The 19844-nt window shown below is 48.9% G+C and overlaps 1 protein-coding gene across 1 annotated transcript in view, besides 3 other annotated features; it reads left to right on the top strand.

Annotated features, from left to right (window-relative positions):
• DHRSX (dehydrogenase/reductase X-linked) overlaps positions 1–19844 on the top strand; it is a 281471-nt gene that overhangs the window by 235847 nt on the left and 25780 nt on the right. The gene's annotated exons all lie outside the window — the stretch shown is intronic.
• Positions 1691–2525: an enhancer, noted in NCBI's record as "H3K27ac-H3K4me1 hESC enhancer chrX:2180646-2181480 (GRCh37/hg19 assembly coordinates)". NCBI's record gives its function as "activates a minimal SCP1, AML or CMV promoter by ChIP-STARR-seq in primed H9 embryonic stem cells {active_cell/tissue: H9 hESC(primed)}" and the evidence as "EXISTENCE:reporter gene assay evidence [ECO:0000049][PMID:30033119]".
• Positions 11318–11826: an enhancer, noted in NCBI's record as "H3K27ac-H3K4me1 hESC enhancer chrX:2171345-2171853 (GRCh37/hg19 assembly coordinates)". NCBI's record gives its function as "activates a minimal SCP1, AML or CMV promoter by ChIP-STARR-seq in primed H9 embryonic stem cells {active_cell/tissue: H9 hESC(primed)}" and the evidence as "EXISTENCE:reporter gene assay evidence [ECO:0000049][PMID:30033119]".
• Positions 11827–12337: an enhancer, noted in NCBI's record as "H3K27ac-H3K4me1 hESC enhancer chrX:2170834-2171344 (GRCh37/hg19 assembly coordinates)". NCBI's record gives its function as "activates a minimal SCP1, AML or CMV promoter by ChIP-STARR-seq in primed H9 embryonic stem cells {active_cell/tissue: H9 hESC(primed)}" and the evidence as "EXISTENCE:reporter gene assay evidence [ECO:0000049][PMID:30033119]".

Raw genomic sequence — 19844 nt, 5'->3', positions numbered from 1 at the left:
CGTCTGCTGAGCACTGGTGCTCTGGGGACAGTGCTCCCTGCGTCTGCTGGATACTGGTGCTCTGGGGACAGTGCTCCCTGTGTCTGCTGGACACTGGTGCTCTGGGGACAGTGCTCCCTGCGTCTGCTGAGCACTGGTGCTTCCTGCATCTGCTGGGCACAGGTGCTCTGGCTACGGTGCTCCCTGGAGTCTGCTGGGCATGGGTGCTCTGGGCACAGTGCCCCCGCATTTGCTGCACATTGGTGCCCGGCATAGTGCTCCCTGCATCTGCTGGGCATGGGTGCTCTGAGAACGGTGCTCCTTGCATCTCCTGAGCATTGTGCTCTGGGCACGGTGCTCCCTGTGTCTGCTGAGCACAGGTGCTCTGGGCACGGTACTCCCTGTGTCTGCTGGGCACAGGTGTTCTGGGCACACTGCTCTCTGTGTCTACTGGGCGCACGTGCCCTGGAAATGGTGCTCCCTGGATCTGCTGGGCACAGATGTTCTGGGCACGATGCTCCCTGCATCTGCTGGGCATGGTCCTCTGGGAACAGTGCTCCCTGCATCTGGTGGGCACTGGTGCTCTGGGCATTGTGCTCTCTGCGTCTGCTGAGCACAGGTGCTCTGGGCACAGTGCTCCCTGAGTCTGCTGGACACAGGTGCTCTGGGCACGGTGCTCTCTGCGTCTGCTGAGCACAGGTGCTCTGGGCACAGTGCTCCCTGAGTCTGCTGGACACAGGTGCTCTGGGCATGGTGCTCCCTGCATCTGCTGGGTAGAGGTGCTCTGGGCACAGTGCTCCCTGAGTCTGCTGGACACAGGTGCTCTGGGCACGGTGCTCCCTGAGTCTGCTGGGTAGAGGTGCTCTGGGCACGGTGCTCCCTGCTTCTGCTGGGTAGCGGTGCTCTGGGCACACTGCTACCTGTATCTGCTGGGCACATGTGCTCTGGAAATGGTGCTGCCTGCATCTGCCGGGCACAGGTGCTCCTGGCGCTGTGTTGTGGGATATGTACATCCCCAGCCATTTGCTGTCCTTGGGCAACTTAGCAATGTGCGATGGTATTGTTACTTTATTTTTTAGAAGGAACAAGAAACACAGAGGTGAGACATAGAAAAGGAAAACGGATCTATTTAAACCTTCTCTTGTGCCCCCATGGGAATGTCAGGCACTGCATCTGCAGGTGGCATTGGTGTGGACTCCTGTCGACACGCAATGTACTGTCTGTCCATCAGCAGGTCTCTCTTGTGAATTCCTCCTAACCCCGCCTTAAGGATAAAAACGATTCCTCTGTGGGAATAATCATCTTAGTTTGTTTAAGCTGATATAAGAAAAAATCCAGCAGTCCGGGTGTGGTGGCTCACGCCTGTCATCCCAGCACTTTGGGAGGCTGAGGCAGGTAGATCACGAGGTCAGGAGATCGAGACCATCCTGACCAACATGGTGAAACCCCATCTCTATTAAAAATACAAAATTAGCCAGGCGTGGTGGTGGACGCCTGTAATCCCAGCTACTCGGGAGGCTGAGGCAGGAGAATCGCTTGAACCCGGGAGGCGGAGGTTGTGGTGAGCCAAGATCACGCCACTGCACTCCAGCCGGAGTAACAACAGCAAAATTCCGTCTCAAAAAAAAAAAAAAAAAAGAAAGAAAAATTCCATAGTTTGGGTGGCTTATAAATAACACACATTTATGTCTCACGGTTCTGGAGGCTGGAAGTCCAAGATCAAAGTGTGCCAGCGTCTGGCGAGAACCCGCTTCCTGGTTCACACATGGCACCTTCTCACTGTGTCATCAAGCAGTGGAAGGGGCAAGGGAGCTCTCTGGGGTCCCCTTTATAAAGGCACTGATTCCATACTTGAGTCTCCCCCATCGTGACCTCATCACCTCCCAAGGGCCTCACCTCCTAACACCATCTCACGGGGGATGAGGATTTCCATGTAGGAATTTGGAGACAGACACAGTCAGAGCACACAGTCGGACTCGCCTTTGAATTTCTCTGCAGCCCTAAGATCACAAAGCGTTAATGCCACACTCGGAAAGAACTGGCTGCTTGGCTGTGCCAGCATCAGACTTTGGGGCCAGCCTCTGTAATGTACAGCAGGGTGGGCGCCCTCCCCACCCCCAGGCCCTGGAGTACCCTCAGGACTACGAGGAGGGTGAGCCCAGGGGCACAGGCCCTGCCAGCTCCTAACAGTTTGCATTTCCCTGCACAGCGAGGGGCAGGATGTAACGAAGGGAGGGCCGTGGGGGCCTCCTAGGATACCTTGGCCCATCTGTTTTGTCGAATTGAGCTCCTGTGTCTGTGAGCCTCTCTGCTCTGAAGGGTGTGGGATGAGGGAGTCGGCCTCGATGGGATCCTGCATGAAGTGTGAACCCTGCCGGTTGTGGGAGGGAAGGAGCGAGGCTGGCCAGGACTTCATCTTCTCCGGGCAGCTGAAGAAGCACCGGGCTGTGCAGGGAAGGGCGGGTGAGAGGAATGCAGGGAGAGCAGGGCCTGTGGCCGGGAGGGGCTGCTTCTCCTTCATGGTGCCCTGAGGAAGCAAGGGCATGTGTGCGTGCCTGTGTGTACAGCTGAGATGTGTGTGCCAATGTGCACAGGTGAGGTGTGTACCAGTATGCACAGGTGAGGTGCATGCGTGCCCATATGCACAGGTGAGTTGTGTGTACCTGTGGGCACAGATGAGGTCTTTGTGCCCGTGGGCACACATGAGATGTGCATGCCTGTGTACACAGGTGAGGTGCGTGCCAGTGTGCACAGATAAGGTGCGTGAGTGCTCGTGTGCACAGGTGAGTCATGTGCGTGCCAGTGTGCGCAGGTGACGTGTGTATGCTGGCTGGGGCATTTCCTGTTTTCACACCCATGCATGACAGCACCCAGAGGAAGACATGCGTGTTTCTCAGGCTTCTTCTCAGCTCAGGGCTCACTGCAGGATTGTGTAGGCCTCCTGCCTCGGGCTCCATGCTGAAGGGTTTGCCTGGACCCACTGGCAAGAACAGCCCTGCCATGACTGGCTTCCCTAACTCCAGGCCTGAGGCTGGGCTGGGTGTGTGGGGGCCAGCCTTCCCTGATGCCCACTCGGGGCTCCACACACGGAGCCTGCTGTATGAGAGGGCCTGGGAGAAGGGAGGAGGGAACGAGGAGTCTTGGCACAGCCAGCAGCACTTGCTGCAGACACGACTCACTGAGCAAGGCAAGGCATGGGTTGGGGAACCTGGGGAATGTGAGCTGCTTGGCAGGCATTACCGCTCGCCAAAGACACACAGGAACACCCCTTCCTCGTACAGCACTGGTGGAGGGCCGCCTGTCTGTTATTCTGAGAGCTCACTTTGGGGTTGATACTGTTGATCAAAGCAATCTCTGTTGTATTTACTCATTTTTTTTTTCAGATGGAGTCTCACTCTGTCTCCCAGGCTGGAGTGCAGTGGTGTGATCTCGGCTCACTGCAACCTCCGCCTCCCGGGTTCAAGCAATTCTCTTGCCTCGACTCCCAAGCAGCTGGGACTACAGGCACCCGCCACCACGTCCAGTTGATTTTTGTATTTTTAGTAGAGACAGGATTTTGCCACGTTGGCCAGGCTGGTCTCGAACTCCTGACCTCAGGTAATCCTCCCATGTCGGCCTCCCAAAGTGCGTGGATTACAGGCATGAGCCACCGTGCCCAGCCACGATCTCTGTTTTGAATAATGAAGATAAGCAGATCACATCCAGAACAACCCCACCCAACAGAAATGACAGCTACTTCCTAGAGACTTTAGGTGCTACAGAGCAGATTCATGCGCTTAATAAGAATTGAGCCTCATTATCACCTAAGAAAGCTGAGGAAGCATATATTACCAAGTGCAATTAACAAGAGAGTTTTTATTCCTATAAAAACACATATTAAAGAAAGGCTTTGACGGTATTGCTTATATGCCATTAACTATTATTTTATTTTATTTTTTGAAAGAGACAAATGTCACTCTGTTGCCCAGGCTGGAGTGCAGTGGTGCTATCTTGGCTCACGGCAACCTCCGCCTCCCGGGTTCCAATGATTCTCCCACCTCAGCCTCCCGAGTAGCTGGGATTACAGGCATGCACCACCACACCCAGCTAATTTTTGTATTTTTAGTAGAAACAGGGCTTCACCATGTTGGCCAGGCTGTAATCAAACTCCTGACCTCAAGTGATCTGCCTGCCTTGACCTCACAAAGTGCTGGGATTACAGGCATGAGCCACCACACCCGACCACCATTAACTCTTATCTGAAGAGTTATGTCCACATCCTAACTCCAAATATGTATAATTGAGACCTAATTTAGAAATAGGTCTTTGCAGATGGAATTAAGTGAAGATGAGATGATTAGGGTAGACCCTTGATCCAATATGATGGGTGGCCTTACAAGAAGTAGAAAATACCTGGGCACACTGGCTCATGCCTGTCATCCCAGCACTTTGGGAGGCCAAGGTGAGCAGATCACCTGAGGTCAGGAGTTCAAGACCAGCCTGACCAATATGATGAAACCCTGTCTCTACTAAAAATACAAAAAATTAGCCGGGCGTGGTGCTGCGCGTCTGTAATCCCAGGTACTCGGGAGGCTGAGGCAGGAGAATTCCTTGAACCTGGGAGGTGGAGGTTGCAGTGAGCTGAGATCGTGCCATTGCACTCCAGCCTGGGCAACAAGAGCGAAACTCTGTCTCAAAAAAAAAAAAAAAATGAAGTAGAAAATTTGGAGACAGAGAGACACAGAGAAGGCCACATGGAGATGGAGATGGAGGTGGAGACTGGAGTGATGCGGCCACACACCCAGGGATGCCTGGAGCCCCCAGGAGCTGGGAGAGGCAGGAAGGACCCTCCCCTCCACCCTCACAGATACCCCAGAGTAACATTCAATCAAACATCTAGGTGCCCCATGATCCAGTCAGGTTAACACATAATATTAACTATTCCGACCCCACTCTACATATAAGAAGGGCCCTAAATGGAATGACAGGTGTTCTTGGAAAGAGACAGAAGAGGAGACACAGACACAGAGGAGAAGGCCACGTGGAGATGGAGGCAGAGACTGGAGTGATGCAGCCACAGGGTCAGGGATGCCCGGAGCCCCCAGGAGCTGGGAGAGGCAGGAAGGGCCCTCCCCTAGAGCCTCTGGAGGGAACTGGATACAATTGTAGTGGATTGAATGGTGGTTCACAGAAAGATCTGTCCACATCCCGAAGCCCAGAACCTAGAATGAGACTTTATTTGAAAATAAAGAACTTTGCCGGTGTAATTAGTTAGAGATCTAGAGATGAGATCATCCTGGAGTAGGGTAGGTCCTAAATCCACTGACCGGTATCCTTCTAAAAGACAGAAGAGGAGACACAGACACAGAGGAGAAGTCCACGTGGAGACGGAGGCAGAGACTGGAGTGATCTGACCACGGGGTCAGGGACTCCCCGAGCCCCCAGAAGCTGGGAAAGGCAGGAAGGGTTCCTGCCCTAGAAGACCGTCCAGAGAGAGCACGACCCTGTCCACTCCTGAATTTCAGACTTCTGGTCTCCAGAAGGTATCACTTCACTGGATGAATTTCTGTGACTTTGAAGCATCCAGTCTGTGCTCATTTGTTTGGACAATCCCAGGAAAGTAATACAGATTGCAAAGCAGATCAAGGAACTTCAAAGTCAAAGGGCTTGAGAGCCAGAGCCAGCTCAGAGCCGGCTCTAACATTTTTTGTTTATTTATTTGTATTGTATTGTTTTTATTTTAATTTATTGTATATATCTATATCTATATATATATCTATATATCTATATATATATCTATATATATCTATATCTATCTATATATCTATATCTATATATATCTATATCTATCTATATATCTATATCTATATCTATATATCTATCTATATATTTTTTTTTTGAGACAGAGTCTTGCTCTGTCGCCCAGGCTGCAATGCAGTGGTGCGATCTCGGCTCACTGCAACCTCTACCTCCTGGGTTCAAGCGATTCTCCTGCCTCAGCCTCCTGAGTAGCTGGGATTACAGGCATGCGCCATCACGCCCAGATAATTTTTATATTTTTAGTAGAGACGGGGGTTCACCATGTTGGCCAGGATGATCTCCATCTCCTGACCTCGTGATCCTCTCGCCTCGGCCTCCCAAAGTGCTGGGATTACAGGCGTGAGCCACTGCGCCCGGCCACTTCCCCCTATTTTTTCGAGACTTACAATTCAACTTACACTGCTTTTCTTTTCCTGTTCTCCTCTTTTGCTTCACCAGTTTGATTATGTAAAATGAATATTGATGACAGGCATTCACCTGAGCCATGTTTCATTTCTCCATGATTCCTCTGCAGGGGATAATGAGAGAGTGTTAACAGATGCCTCCTCTGAGCTTTCTGGAAACTGTTCTTCGTTGACGGCACTGACTCTTTCCAAATAGGCCCCTTTTTCATCGTTCATAGCTTAGGAGTGATCTCTTAAAGGAGAGAACATTGCTTTGCTGGGGCTGCCATAATAAAATACCACGGACCTAGTGGCTTAAACAGCAGACATTGAGCCTCCCACAGTCCTGGAGGCTGGAGGTCCCAGATCAAGGTGTGGGTGTGGCTGACTCCTCCTGAGGCCTCTCTCCTTGGGTTGTAGACACCGTCTTCTCCCTGTGTCCTCACAGGATCATCCCTCTGTGTGTGTCTGTGTCCTCATCTCCTCCTCTTATGAGGTGTCTTAGCCCATTTCAGGCTGCTATCACAGAATACCATAGACTGGGTAGATTATAAACAACAGACATTATTCTCTCACAGTCCTGGACGCTAGAAGTTTGAGATCCAGGTATGGGCAGGGCTGGTTCCTCCTGAGGCCTCTCTGCTGGACTTGTAGACGCCATCTTCTCTCTGTGTCCTCACAGGGTCGTCCCTTTGTGTGTGTGTGTGTCCTCATCTCCTCTTCTTATGCAATGCCTTACTCCATCTCAGGCTGCTATCACAGAATACCATAGACTGTGTAGCTTATAACAGCAGACATTGATTCTCCCACAGTCCTGGAGGCTGGAGGTCTGAGATCAAGGTGTGAGCAGGGCTGGTTCCTCCTCAGGCCTCTCTCCTGGGCTTGGAGATGTCATCATCGCCCTGTGTCCTCACTTGGTTGTCCCTCTGTGTGTGTCTGTGTCCTCATCTCCTCTTCTTATAAGGACCTCAGTCCTATTGGATCAGTACCTACCCTAGTGACCTCATTTTACCTGAATCGCATCTTTAAAGACCCCATCTCCGGCCGGGCATGGTGGCTCATGCCTGTAATCCCAGCACTTTGGGAGGCTGAGGCAGGTGGATCACCTGAGGTCAGGAGTTCAAGACCAGCCTGGACAACACGGTGAAACCCCGTCTCTACTTAAAAAATACAAAATTAGCCAAGCGCCATGGCAGGTGCCTATAACCCCAGCTACTGGGGAGGCTGAGGCAGGAGAATCGCTTGAACCCGGGAGGCGGAGGTTGCAGTGAGCCAAGATTGCACCATTGCACTCCAGCCTTGGTGACAAGACCGAAACTCTGTCTCAAAAAATAAATAAAATAAAAGGACCCTATCTCCAAATAAGGTCATCTTTCTGAGTTCCTCAGAGTTAGAACTTCATAGGAATCTGGGGAGACGTAATTCAGTCCATGAGATACGCCCAGGTCCCCTTGGTAGAATAGAACACGCCTCAGCCGGCGTCTTCTGTATTACTGTAGGAGCCCCTAGATGACCAGATGGTGGTAGGACAGCCAGGTATTCCCAGTCAGGTGCAGTTGCCTGGATGTGTGTTCCCCGAATTATTGTGCATTGGGCCATCTGGCCGACGAACTTCAGCTTCCGTGGTTAGCTCCGTCTCCATCTCCCTGATTTTTCTGTTCTTGTGTCATCCCTGCGTCACATATGACTGAAGTTCAGTAAATATATGGTGAGTGGGCCGGGCATGGTGGCTCACGCCTGTCATCCCAGCACTTCGGGAGGCCGAGGCAGGTGGATCACAAGGTCAGGAGTTCAAGACCAGCCTGGCCAACATGGAGAAACCCCATCTCTACTAAAAATACAAAAATTAGCTGGGCGTGGGGGTGCACACCTGTAATCCCTGCTACTCGGAAGGCTGAGGCAGGATAATTGCTTCAACTGGGACTCGAAAGGCAGAGGTTGCAGTGAGCCAAGATCGCACCACTGCACTCCAGCCTGGGCTGCAAAGCAAGATTCTGTCTTAAAAAAGAAAAAGAAAAAAGAAATGAAGATGCTCCCATTCTCAGACCATCCTCCAGATCTCCTAAACCCGAAGTTTGGAGAACAGGGGTTGGCAAGGAGAAGGTCTTTGGGGGAATTCTGATGCATGCTAAAATATGAGAACCACTTGAATTTAAAATATACTGCTTTTTTTTTTTGGATGAAAGATGTGGTTCTTGGCTTTTGCCTGATATAATCATTGCCAGTAATTAGTGTTAATTGCCAAGATTGATTTACTGGCTTGGAAAATTAGCGTTCTTGTAAAGGAATAAATCACAGTGTTGTAACATATTCCAAAAATCCAAGAGTTTTTACACATGAGAGAACATGTCTCCTCAACTTGGCTGTACCGAATCATCCCCATGGTGAAATAAATTTCAATAGAAAGCACTTTGGGAGGCCGAGGCGGGCGTATCACCTGAGGTCAGGAGTTCGAGACCAGCCTGGTCAACATGGGGAAACCCCGTCTCTACTAAAAATGCAAAAGTTAGCCAGGCATGGTGGCATGTGCCTGTAATCTCAGCTGCTTTGGAGGCTGAAGCAGGAGAATTGTTTGAACCCGGGAGGTGGAGGTTGCAGTGGGCCAAGATCATGCTACTGCACTCCAGCCCAGCTTGCACTCCAGAGCAAGACTCCCTCTCAAAAAAAGAAAAAAAAGGGCAGGCACAGTGGCTTAAGTCTGTCATCCCAGCACTTTGGGAGGCTGAGAGGGGTGGATCGCAAGGTCAGGAGATCAAGACCATCCTGGCCAACATGGTGAAACCCCGTCTCTACTAAAATATAAAAAATTAGCCAGGCATGGTGGCATGTCCCTGTAGTCCCAGCTACTGGGGAGGCTGAGGCAGGAGAATTGCTTGAACCGGGGAGGTGGAGGTTGCAATGAGCCAAGATCGCACCACTGCACTCCAGCCTGGAGAGAAAAAAAAAAAAAAAAGAGGGACACATACCTTCCAAAATCATTTTCTATTCTTTAAGATTTCTTTCCTGTGAGACCCTTAAATTTGTTTTGTTTTATTTTATTTTATTTGAGACAGAGTTTCGCTTTTGTCACCCAGGCATCGAGGCTGGAGTGCAGTGGCGCAATCTCAGCTCACTACAACCTCTGCCTCGTGGGTTCAAGTGATTCTCCTGTCTCAGCCTCCCGGGTAGCTGGGACTACAGGCACCGCCACCATGCCCACCTAATTTTTGTGTTTTTTTTTTGTAGAGCTGGGTTTTCACCATGTTGGTCAGGCTGGTCTCGAACTCCTGACCTCGAATGATCTGCCCACTTCGACTTCCCAATGTGCTGGGATTACAGGTGTGACCCACCGTGCCTGGCCATGATAGATTCTCTACCTATTTAAGAAATTCTTTATTTCACTCTGACGTCCCTCAGTCATGGAGTTGTTATAGGCATGGGCGTGCCTCACTGTGAACATGGCTGTCTTGGTTTGAGTTTCTCAACTTATGTAACTTTGGGTGACTTCTTCATTATTTTATTCCTAACCATGAATTCACATCCCGTGAAATCATCCAGTATAGACTAAGTTGTGTAACGTGTTTTGAGTGTGGTATCCCATCTCGATTCGGATTTCACTCAAGGTTTCACATGTTCCCCCTGTGTTCTGAGATATGTCGGACAGCTGACACACTCACTATGTGTCTATGAGCGAAAGTATCAGGGTGTTTGGATGCAGCTGGAATTCACAAGATACCTGCAATGTCCTGTGTTGTTTTGGTTGTTTTCTCTTAGCGGAAAAAGTCAAAGACCTCTCTTTGAGATCGACACCATCCAGGCCAATGTGGTAAAAACCCGTCTCTACTAAAAATACAAAAATTAGCTGGGTGTGGTGACGGGTGACTGTAGTCCCAGCTACTCAGGAGGCTGAGGCAGGAGAATCACTTGAACCCGGGAGGTGGAAGTTGCAGCAAGCCAAGATCATAGCACTGCACTCCAGCCCGGCCTGGGCAACAGAGCAAGACTCCCTCTCAAAAAAAAAAAAAGAAAAAAAAGGGGGGGGGCGTGGGGCAGGCACAGTGGCTCACACCTGTAATCCCACCACTATGGGAGGCCTAGGGGGTGGATCACAAGGTCAGGAGATCAAGACCATCCTGGCCAATGTGGTGAAACCCCACTGTGCTAAAAATACCAAAATTAGCTGAGTGTGGTGGCGGGCACCTGTAGTCCCAGCTACTCGGAAGGCTAAGACAGGAGAATCACTTGAATCCGGGAGGCGGAGATTGCAGTGAGCCGAGATCGCACCACTGCACTCCACCCTAGCAACAGAGCGAGACCCTGTTTCAAAAAAACAAACAAACAAAAAAAACCTCTCTTTATTCGCAGTATTTTCTGAGTTCCTGGTAGGCGGATCGTTATCAAGAATATTAAATGTAGATGATAGTTATCAAGAATATTAAGCGTAGATATCCTAGAAAGAATGTAATGGAGTTGTTTGTACTGCCAAAGGGAAAATTCAATTTAGACATGAAGGATTGTTATAATACTTATAAATATATTGAATGCCACCCATACTTACTCATTAAAACAGTGATTGTCATCAGGTTTAATGAGCACTGGAAAAATAGCTCCAGTCAACTAGGTTATGAGCAGTCGATTGAGTTTCCCTAATTGCATTGGCAATTTGATTATGCAACAATGTCCTGCAATGGAAATACGTTGCAATGCAACGGATTCGTAGGAAGTTAACATAAAAACTCAGTTGTCCTTGCTTCTACACAAGTACCTCTCAAAGTGGATAAATAATCAATGCAAAAACTGCCTGTTGATCCATATAAAAGGACACCGCCTACGGAGACTGGCTGTTGGGAGACCGAGATATGACACGTTTACATCCTACAGTATCCATCACAATAACTTATAAAGGGCTCCTTTCTTTTTGTTTTTTTTTGAGACAGAGTCTTGCTTTGTTGCCCAGGCTGGAGTGCAGGGTGTGATCTCAGCTCACTGCAAGCTCCGCCTTCCGGGTTCACGCCATTCTCCTGCCTCAACCTCCCGAGTAGCTGGGACTACAGGCGTCTGCCACCACACCCGGCTAATTTTTTTGTATTTTTATTAGAGACGGGGTTTCACCCTGTTAGCCAGGATGGTCTCGATATTCTGACCTCGTGATCCGCCCGCCTCGGCCTCCCAAAGTGCTGGGATTACAGGCGTGAGCCACCGCGCCCGGTCTTATAAACACTCAAAAGTATGTTCAGTCTTCACGATTTTTAATAACAAGAAGAGAGTAATGCTTTAATCAGCAAAAAATGGAGAACTCAAATACCCTTTTATAAGGTCCAGATTTAGTAGCAGGTGGCTTTTGTTCAGTTTCTTATTCAACAGGAAAGCTCATTGAATGATTTTTTGTTTCATTTTGTTTTTTGGCAGTCTCCCTGTCTCACCCAGACTGGAGTGCAGTGGCGCCATCTTTGCTGATTGGCTCACGGCCATGTCCGCCTCCCAGGCTGGAGTGTGGTGGCGCCATCTTGGCTCACTGCCATGTCCACCTCCCAGGCTGCAGTGCGGCCGCGACATCTTGGCTCACGGCCATGTCCGCCTCCTAGGCTGGAGTGCCGTGGCGCCATCTTGGCTCACGGCCATGTCCGCCTCCCAGGCTGCAGTGCGGCCACGCCATCTTGGCTCAAGGCCATGTCCACCTCCCAGGCTGCAGTGCCGTGGCGCCATCTTGGCTCACGACCACGTCCGCCTCCTAGGCTGGAGTGCCGTGGCGCCATCTTGGCTCAAGGCCATGTCCGCCTCCCAGGCCGTGCAGTGGCGCCATCTTGGCTCACTGCCATATCTGCCTCCCAGGCCGTGCAGTGACGCTATCTTGGCTTGCTGCCATGTGCGCCTCCCAGGCTCAAATGATCTGCTCCCACCTCAGCCTCACAATTAGCTGGGACTACAGGTGTGCTTTACCACACCCAGGTACTTTTTGTATTTTTTGTAGAGATAAGGTCTTACTATACTCCCCAGTCTGGTCTTGAACTCCTGGGCTCAAGCGACCTGCCTGCCTTAGTGTCCCCTAAGTGCTCAGATTACATGCGCGAGCCACCACTCCCGGCCTAATACCAACGACTTTTGTCAGAGTCCTTAGGGTTTCATTTACAGACCTTAATGGGCATTTCCTCCTACGTATTTGCTTTCATTCTTTCCCATTTCTGGGGTGGATATTTCTTCATCCCTAACCCCCACCCCAGGGAATCTCTCCTGAAACTACGTGCCCCTCTTGGATTCATTTCTTCACCTCCTGTAGAGAAATGTATTGGCTTTTCGCCTGCCCCCACACCGTATTTTTAAACAATCTTAGTTCTCTCTTCTCCACGCTACTGTGTAAAACCATAATTACAGAACCAACCCCTCCATTTACTCTGGAAAAATCTGCCTTTGGATGATGCATTTTCTGCTTTTTCAAGTAACCATTCCTCTTACCCATCAATCAAATGCTGGAGATTCAGAACCGAATGCTTGTAGCTGATATTTAAAAAACGATCATGCCAGCAGGAAAGCCAGTCTTTGCCTCTCTGCACTTAGTAACTATCTGTTTCCTGGACTCTTCTCTTCCCCTGGGGTGAGGAGATTGGAGAAGTTTGCCTTAAAAAGATATCTTGACAGTAATTGGAGGTTTACAGTTTATCTTGGATCAGAGATGGGACTTCAGCTCTGAACTACTCAATTTCCCTGTCTTAATTCTTCCAGTCTCTTAGATTTCTTTTTATTTATTTATTTTTGAGACAGAGTTTTGCTCTTGTCACCCAGGCTGGAGTGCAATGGCGTGGTATCAGCTCACTGCAACCTCTACCTCCCGGGTTCAAGGATTCTCCTGCCTCAGCCTCCCGAGTAGCTGGGATTACAGGCACCTGCCACCACGCCCTGCTAATTTTTGTATTTTTAGTAGAGACGGGGTTTCACCATGTTGGCCAGGCTAGTCTCGAACTCCTGGCCTCAGGTGATCCACCCACCTCAGCCTCCCAAAGTGCTGGGATTACAGACATAAGCCACCATACCCAGCCAATTCTTCCAATCTCTTTATTATGCAGTCAGCCTTTCCAGTCCCCTCCTACCCCACCCCAACCCCCAAAAAGTTATGTTTTGATTGTTCATTATTTTGCAAAGTCTCCATGGCTAAGGACCCCCTTGTCACCCTTTCTGTCCTGCCCTTATTTATTTCTAAGGCAGCAGACCTGAGGTTTCTTTTCCAGCAGAAATCGGGTAAACCTCAGGTCTGTTTGAAATGCTTGTTCCCCAGTGCCATAAAGAAATAGCACTTGAACATTAATTTCCTCAGCAAGGCCATTTTTTTTACTTTCTGCAGAAAGGGTACACTCTCCAGCAGTTTTGCCAGGAGAGTACAGCGAACAAAGGGGACAGGGTCATTTATCACTTGATGCGTCCGCCCTACTGCTGTGTCCAGTTTCCAGGGCTGGAATGGGACCTCACATTCTGTATTTGTCCCGATTGGCCAGCACCTTGGAACTATTTAAAAGAGGCAAAGGCAGAGGAGAACAAAGGAAGGAGGAAGTAACTTGTGGAATGCTGAGAAAGGAAAAAGCACTTTTAGATAAAGAAGAGGAACAGGCTGTGACGTAATGCTTGCTTGGACCAGTATAAGCATGCCAGGGCTGATACTTAGGTTAAATTGTGGGAGCTAAGAGCATAAAGTACATTGATTTCTTTATCACGGCTAGCAGATATTTAGGAATGTTAGCACAAGTCTTTGAATGAAGTTTGCTTCTCAGAGAAGTTACTATTTATTCCTAATTAGATGGGGAGGAAAGTCTTTGAACAGGAACCTTTATTTTTTACAGGCCCGATGTCAGATTTTGGCATGTGGCTTTCTGCTACCCATGGCTGCGTGATGAGACAGTGGCTGGAGGCAGAACTGAGCCCCTGGAGGTGTTAATGGGGGAGTCACTTGTCCTCATGCAAGCATTCAAACATGCCTTTTGCACAACGGCAAGGCACATCTCAGAACATGTCAGCTGCAGGCTGCGATTTCCCGGGTACGAGCTTTCCAAGCTCTGTGATCCACTCTGTCTTTGGTTACATGAAGGTGGGAAAATTGCTCAGTTGCTAAGATCACAGTGTTGGGGCTCAGAAAACAATCCCCTAAATTTTTCAGAGGCATTAGAACCAGAGCAACTCTGCCATCTTGAATAGGGGCTGCGTAACATGAGGCTGAGACCTGCTTGGGCTGCCTTCTCTGGAGGTGGATGAGGCATTCTAAGTCACAGGATGACAGAGGAGGTCAGCACAAGACACAGGTCACAAAGGCCCTGCTGATAAACCAGGTTGTGGTAAAGCCAGCCAAATCCCACCGAAACCAAGATGGTGACGACTGACCTCTGGTCATCCTCTCTGGTCATGATACGCTAATTCTAATGCATTAGCTGATAAGAGACGGTTTACAGATGCCATGACATGGTCTAAAAGGGGGATGAACCTTCAGCTCCGGGAATTGGTCACCCCTGTCCCAGAAAACTCATGAGTAATCCACCCGTTGTTTAGCATATGATAGAGAAATAACCATAAAAATAGGCCACCAGCAGCTCTCGGGATGCTCCATCTATGGAGTACACATTCTTTATTCTTCTACTTTCATAATAAACTTGCTTTCACTTTACTCTATGGACCCACTCGGAGTTCTTTCTCACGAGATCCAAGAACCCTTTCAAACCCCTGAAAGGATCAGGTGATCCGCCCACCTCTGCCTCCCAAAGTTCTGCTGGGATTACAGATGTGAGCCACTGCACCCAGCCAGAAAAGACTTTTTGAATCAATGCTTAATTTTTTTTTTTTTTTTTTTTGAGATGGAGTCTCACTCTGTTGCCCAGGCTGGAGTGCAGTGGCGTGATCTCGGCTCACTGCAATCTTCACCTCCCGGGTTCAAGCGATTCTCCTGCCTCAGCACCCAAGTAGCTGGGATTACAGGCATGCGCCACCACTCCTGGCTAACTTTTTGTATTTTTAATAGAGACGGGGTTTCACCGTGTTAGCCAGGATGGTCTCGATCTCCTGACCTCGTGATCTGCCAGCCTTGGCCTCCCAAAGTCCTGGGATTACAGACGTGAGCCACCATGCCTGGCCCAAGGTTTATTTTTTTAAGATCAATTTCAAGTAGTGATGTTACTAAAAGATATTCATAGGCCAGGTGCGTTGGCTCACGCTTGTAATCCCAGCACTTTGGGAGGCCAAGGCGGGCGGTTCACTTGAAGTCAGGAGTTCGAGACTGGCCTGGCCAACACAGTGACACCCCATCTCTACTGCAAATACAAAAATTAGCTGGGCGTGATGGTAGGCGCCTGTAGTCCCAGCTACTTGGGAGGCTGAGGCAGGAGAATCACTTGAACCCGGGAGGTGGAGGTCGCAGTGAGCTGAGATTGCGCCACCGCACTCCAGCCTGGGCTACAGAGCGAGACTCTGTCTCAAAAAAAAAAAAAAAAAAAAAAAAAAAAGGCACAAAAAGGGCTGAGCGTGGTGGCTCACATCACGTCTGTCATTCCAGCACTTTGGGAGGCCGAGGTGGGCAGATCACGAGGTCAGGAGATCGAGACCATCCTGGCTAACACGGTGAAACCCCGTCTCTACTAAAAATACAAAAAAAAAAAAAAAGCCGGGCATGGTGGCAGGTGCCTGTAGTCCCAGCTACTCAGGAGGTTAAGGCAGGAGAATGGTGTGAACCCAGGAGGGGGTGGTTGCAGTGAGCCAGGATTGTGCCACTGTACTCTAGCCTGGGCGACAGAACAAGACTCTGTCTCAAAAAAAAAAAAAAAAAAAGATTTATGATTTTAAAGATTGAGTTGCATGTTGTGAAGTTGCTCTCCCAAAAGATGTGCAAATGTATGTGCACGCCCTTCCTTTGGTTGTCTGGCCAGTTTTCCCCATGTTCTTCACAGTGGAAATGATGACAGTGTGATAGGAGAACAGATGGAGGGTCATTCCCTCTGATTTTGCAAGCTGAAAAATCAACTTGCAAAAGCAGATGAATAGGAGAAAAGGCATACAAAGTTTACTCGATGGATACATACAGCAGCCTTCAGAGGGAAGACCCAAAGATGCAGGGGAAACCGTCTATTTTTATGCTTAGGTTCAACGACGTCTGAACGAAATCCGTGTAGGAATAGGATTGGAGGAAGAGGGTGTGATCTAAGGCTGACGGTCTGAGTGGGGAAACAGACAGGCCTGTCTAGATTTTTTTGGCCTCTGAGCAGTGCGCCTTCCTTCTGGGGGTGGGGTGGGACCCTCTCTGGGAAGGGGGTCGTAGAACCTACATTCAAACAAGGCAGGTCAAGGAATTTCCTTTTCCTTTTCTTTTCTTTCTTTTTCTTTTCTTTTCTTTTTCTTTTTTTTTTTTTGAGACAGAGTCTTGCTCTTGTCGCCCTGGCTGGAGTGCAATGGCGCAATCTTGGCTCATTGCAGCCTCCACCTTCTGGGTTCAAGCAATTTTCCTGCCTCAGCCTCCCGAGTAGCTGGGACTACAGGTGCCCGCCACCACACTTGGCTAATGTTTGTATTTTCTTTTTTCTTTTTTTTTTTGAGACAGAGTCTCGCTCTGTCGCCCAGGCTGGAATGCAGTGGCGCAATCTCCACTCACTGCAAGCTCCGCCTCCTGGGTTCACACCATTCTCCTGCCTCAGCCTCCCAAGTAGCTAGGACTACGGGCGCCCACCACCACACCCAGTTAATTTTTTGTATTTTTAGTAGAGACCGGGTTTCACCGTATTAGCCAAGATAGTCTCGATCTCCTGACCTTGTGGTCTGCCCACCTTGGCCTCCCAGAGTGCTGGGATTACAGACGTGAGCCACCGTGCCCGGCCTAATGTTTGTATTTTCAGTAGAGGTGATGTTTCCCTGTGTTGGGCAGGCTGGTCTCGAACTCCTGATCTCAAGTGATCCACCTGCCTTGGCCTCCCAAAGTGCCGGGATTATAGCCGTGAGCCACTGCACGATGATAGGAAATTTCTTTATGGCGAGTTTTTATATACTCAGGGTGTAGGGAAACTTAGAGTCCTATTTATAGGGTTTCTGGCTGGCCTTGGGGGAAAGGTGCTTTGGTTTTCGGGACCCACCTTGGGGAAGAAGGATTCCAGTTTCCGTGGTGCCCTTGGGGCGAAATGGGTCTGAGAGACAGGAGGGTAGGAGAAGGTCAGCAAGAAAGGTTTGCTTCTGATGCTGCTTCTGAGGTCTTCATTTTAGGTTACTGTTCTCTGAGCCCCAGCATAGGCATGCATTATTGGTTTTGTTCATTTATTTTATGAAAAAATGAATACATGAATATAGAGGGTATCTAATTTTTTTTTTTTTTTTTTTTTTGTGAGACGGAGTTTCACTCTATCACCAAGGCTGGAGTGCAGTGGCGCAATCTCGGCTCACTGCAAGCTCCGCCTCCCGGGTTCACGCCATTCTCCTGCCTCAGCTTCCCGAGTAGCTGGGACTACAGGCGCCCGCCACCATGCCCGGGTAATTTTTTGTTTTTTTAGTAGAGACGAGGTTTCACCATGTTAGCCAGGATGGTCTCGATCTCCTGACCTCGGGATCTGCCCATCTCGGCCTCCCAAAGTGCTGGGATTAGAGGTGTGAGCCACTGCACCCAGCCCTAATTTTTTTTTTATAGTTTCAGGGTCTGCTCTGTAATTGTAATATTCTACTTTTCATCTGCAAAATATAGTGTATATTGGACATTTTATAACAGGGAGAGGAGGTTTAGAAACCAATACCAGGGCCATGTACAGTGGCTCACACCTGTAATCCCAGCACTTTGGAAGGCCAAGGTGGGTGGATCACTTGGGGTCAGAAGTTCCAGACCAGCCTGGCTAACCTGATGAAACCCCGTCTCTACTAAAAATGCAAAAATTATCTGGGCATGGTGGTGTATGCCTGTAATCCCAGCTACTCAGGAGGCTGAGGCAGGAGAATTGCTTGAACCTAGGAGGCAGAGGTTGCAGTGAGCTGAGATGGCGCCACTGCACTCCAGCCTGGGTGACAGAGCAAGACTCCTTCTCAAACAACAACAACAAAAACCAACATCAGTCTCTGTTCCCCAGTGGTATCATTTATGTTTATACTGTTTTCTTTCTGTATTTCTCATTTGCTTTGATCTTTTTGGTTTTCTTTTATGTGTTTTCCTTAGGAAAGCATTTTCATTTTTCTTCTCCAGATCCTTAGGTCAAAGTTTACTTCATTTATTTCAATTTTCTATTCTTTTATTTTCTTTCTTTTTCTTTCTTTCTTTCTTTCTTTCTTTCTTTCTTTCTTTCTTTCTCTTTCTTTCTTTTCTTTTCTTTTTCTTTCTTTCTTTTCTTTCTTTTCTTTCTTTCTCTCTTTCTGTCTTTCTTTCTTTCTTTTTTTGACAGACTTTCACTCTGTTGCCCAGGCTGGAGTACAATGGCGTGATCTCGTGTCACTGCAACCTCCACCTCCCGGGTTCAAGTGATTCTCCTGCCTCAGCCTCCCAAGTAGTTGGGTCTACAGGCACCCGCCAGCACGTCCAGCTAATTTTTTGTATTTTTAGTAGAGATGGGGTTTCACCATGTTAACCAGGATGGTCTCAAACTCATGACCTGGTGATCTGCCCACCTCAGCCTCCCAAAGCGCTGGGATTACAGGCATGAGCCAACGCACCCAGCCCTCAATATTGTATTCTTATTTAGGAACAGCTTTTGTTGGTAAGAGGCATTGGATTTTCAGAAGCTTTTTCTGAAACGCATATGATGACGGATGTCTTTCTTTTGATCTTTTGAATGTGTTAAACATTCTTTTAGGCTTTTTGATCTTATCTTTAGTTTTTTAGCATAAATATCATGCTGATATTCAAACTATATCTGAGATGGCTTTGTGAACCCTGAAAATTTGAGACAGGTCTCAGTTAATTTAGAGTTTGTTTTGCCAAATTTAAGGACGTGAGCCTGTGACATAGCCTCAGAAAGTCCTGATGACGTGTGCAACGTGGTCAGGTCACAGCTTGTTTTTTTTTTGTTTGTGTGTTTTTTTGTTTTTTTGTTTTTTTTGAGATGGAGTCTCACTCTCTTGCCCAGGCTGGAGTGCAGTGGTACAATCTCAGCTCACTGCACCCTTTGCCTCCCAGGTTCAAGCAATTATCCTGCCTCAGCCTCCGGAGTAGCTGGGACTACAGGCACATGCCACCATGCCTGGCTAATTTTTTAATTTTTTTTTTTAGTAGAGACAGGGTTTCACCATGTTGGCCAGCCTGGTCTCAAACTCCTGACCTTGTGATCCGCCCGCCTTGGCCTCCCAAAGTGCTGAGATTACAGGCATGAGCCACTGCGTCTGGCCATAGCTTGGTTTTATACATTTTAGGGAGACAGGAGACATCAATCAATATATGTAAGAGCTACGTTGGGGTGGGTGCGGTGGCTCACGCCTGTAATCCCAGCACTTTGGGAGGCCGAGGCAGGCGGATCACCTGAGGTCAGGAGTTCGAGACCAGCCTGGCCAACATGGTGAAACCCCATGTCTACTAAAAATACAAAAAATTAGCCGGGCGTGGTGGCGGGCGCTGGTAATCCCAGCTACTCGGGAGGCTGAGGCAGGAGAATGGCTTGAACCCAGGAGGTAGAGGTTGCAGTGAGCCAAGATTGTGCCACTGCACTCCAGCCTGGGCAATATGAGCAAAACTCTGTCTCAAAAAAATAAGAAGTATAGTCCTTGAAAAGCAGGGACAAC

The sequence above is a fragment of the Homo sapiens genome, chromosome Y (genome assembly GCF_000001405.40).
Source record: "Homo sapiens chromosome Y, GRCh38.p14 Primary Assembly".
In the NCBI taxonomy this organism is placed as follows: domain Eukaryota; kingdom Metazoa; phylum Chordata; class Mammalia; order Primates; family Hominidae; genus Homo; species Homo sapiens.
This window is presented reverse-complemented; position numbering and strand designations above follow the sequence as displayed.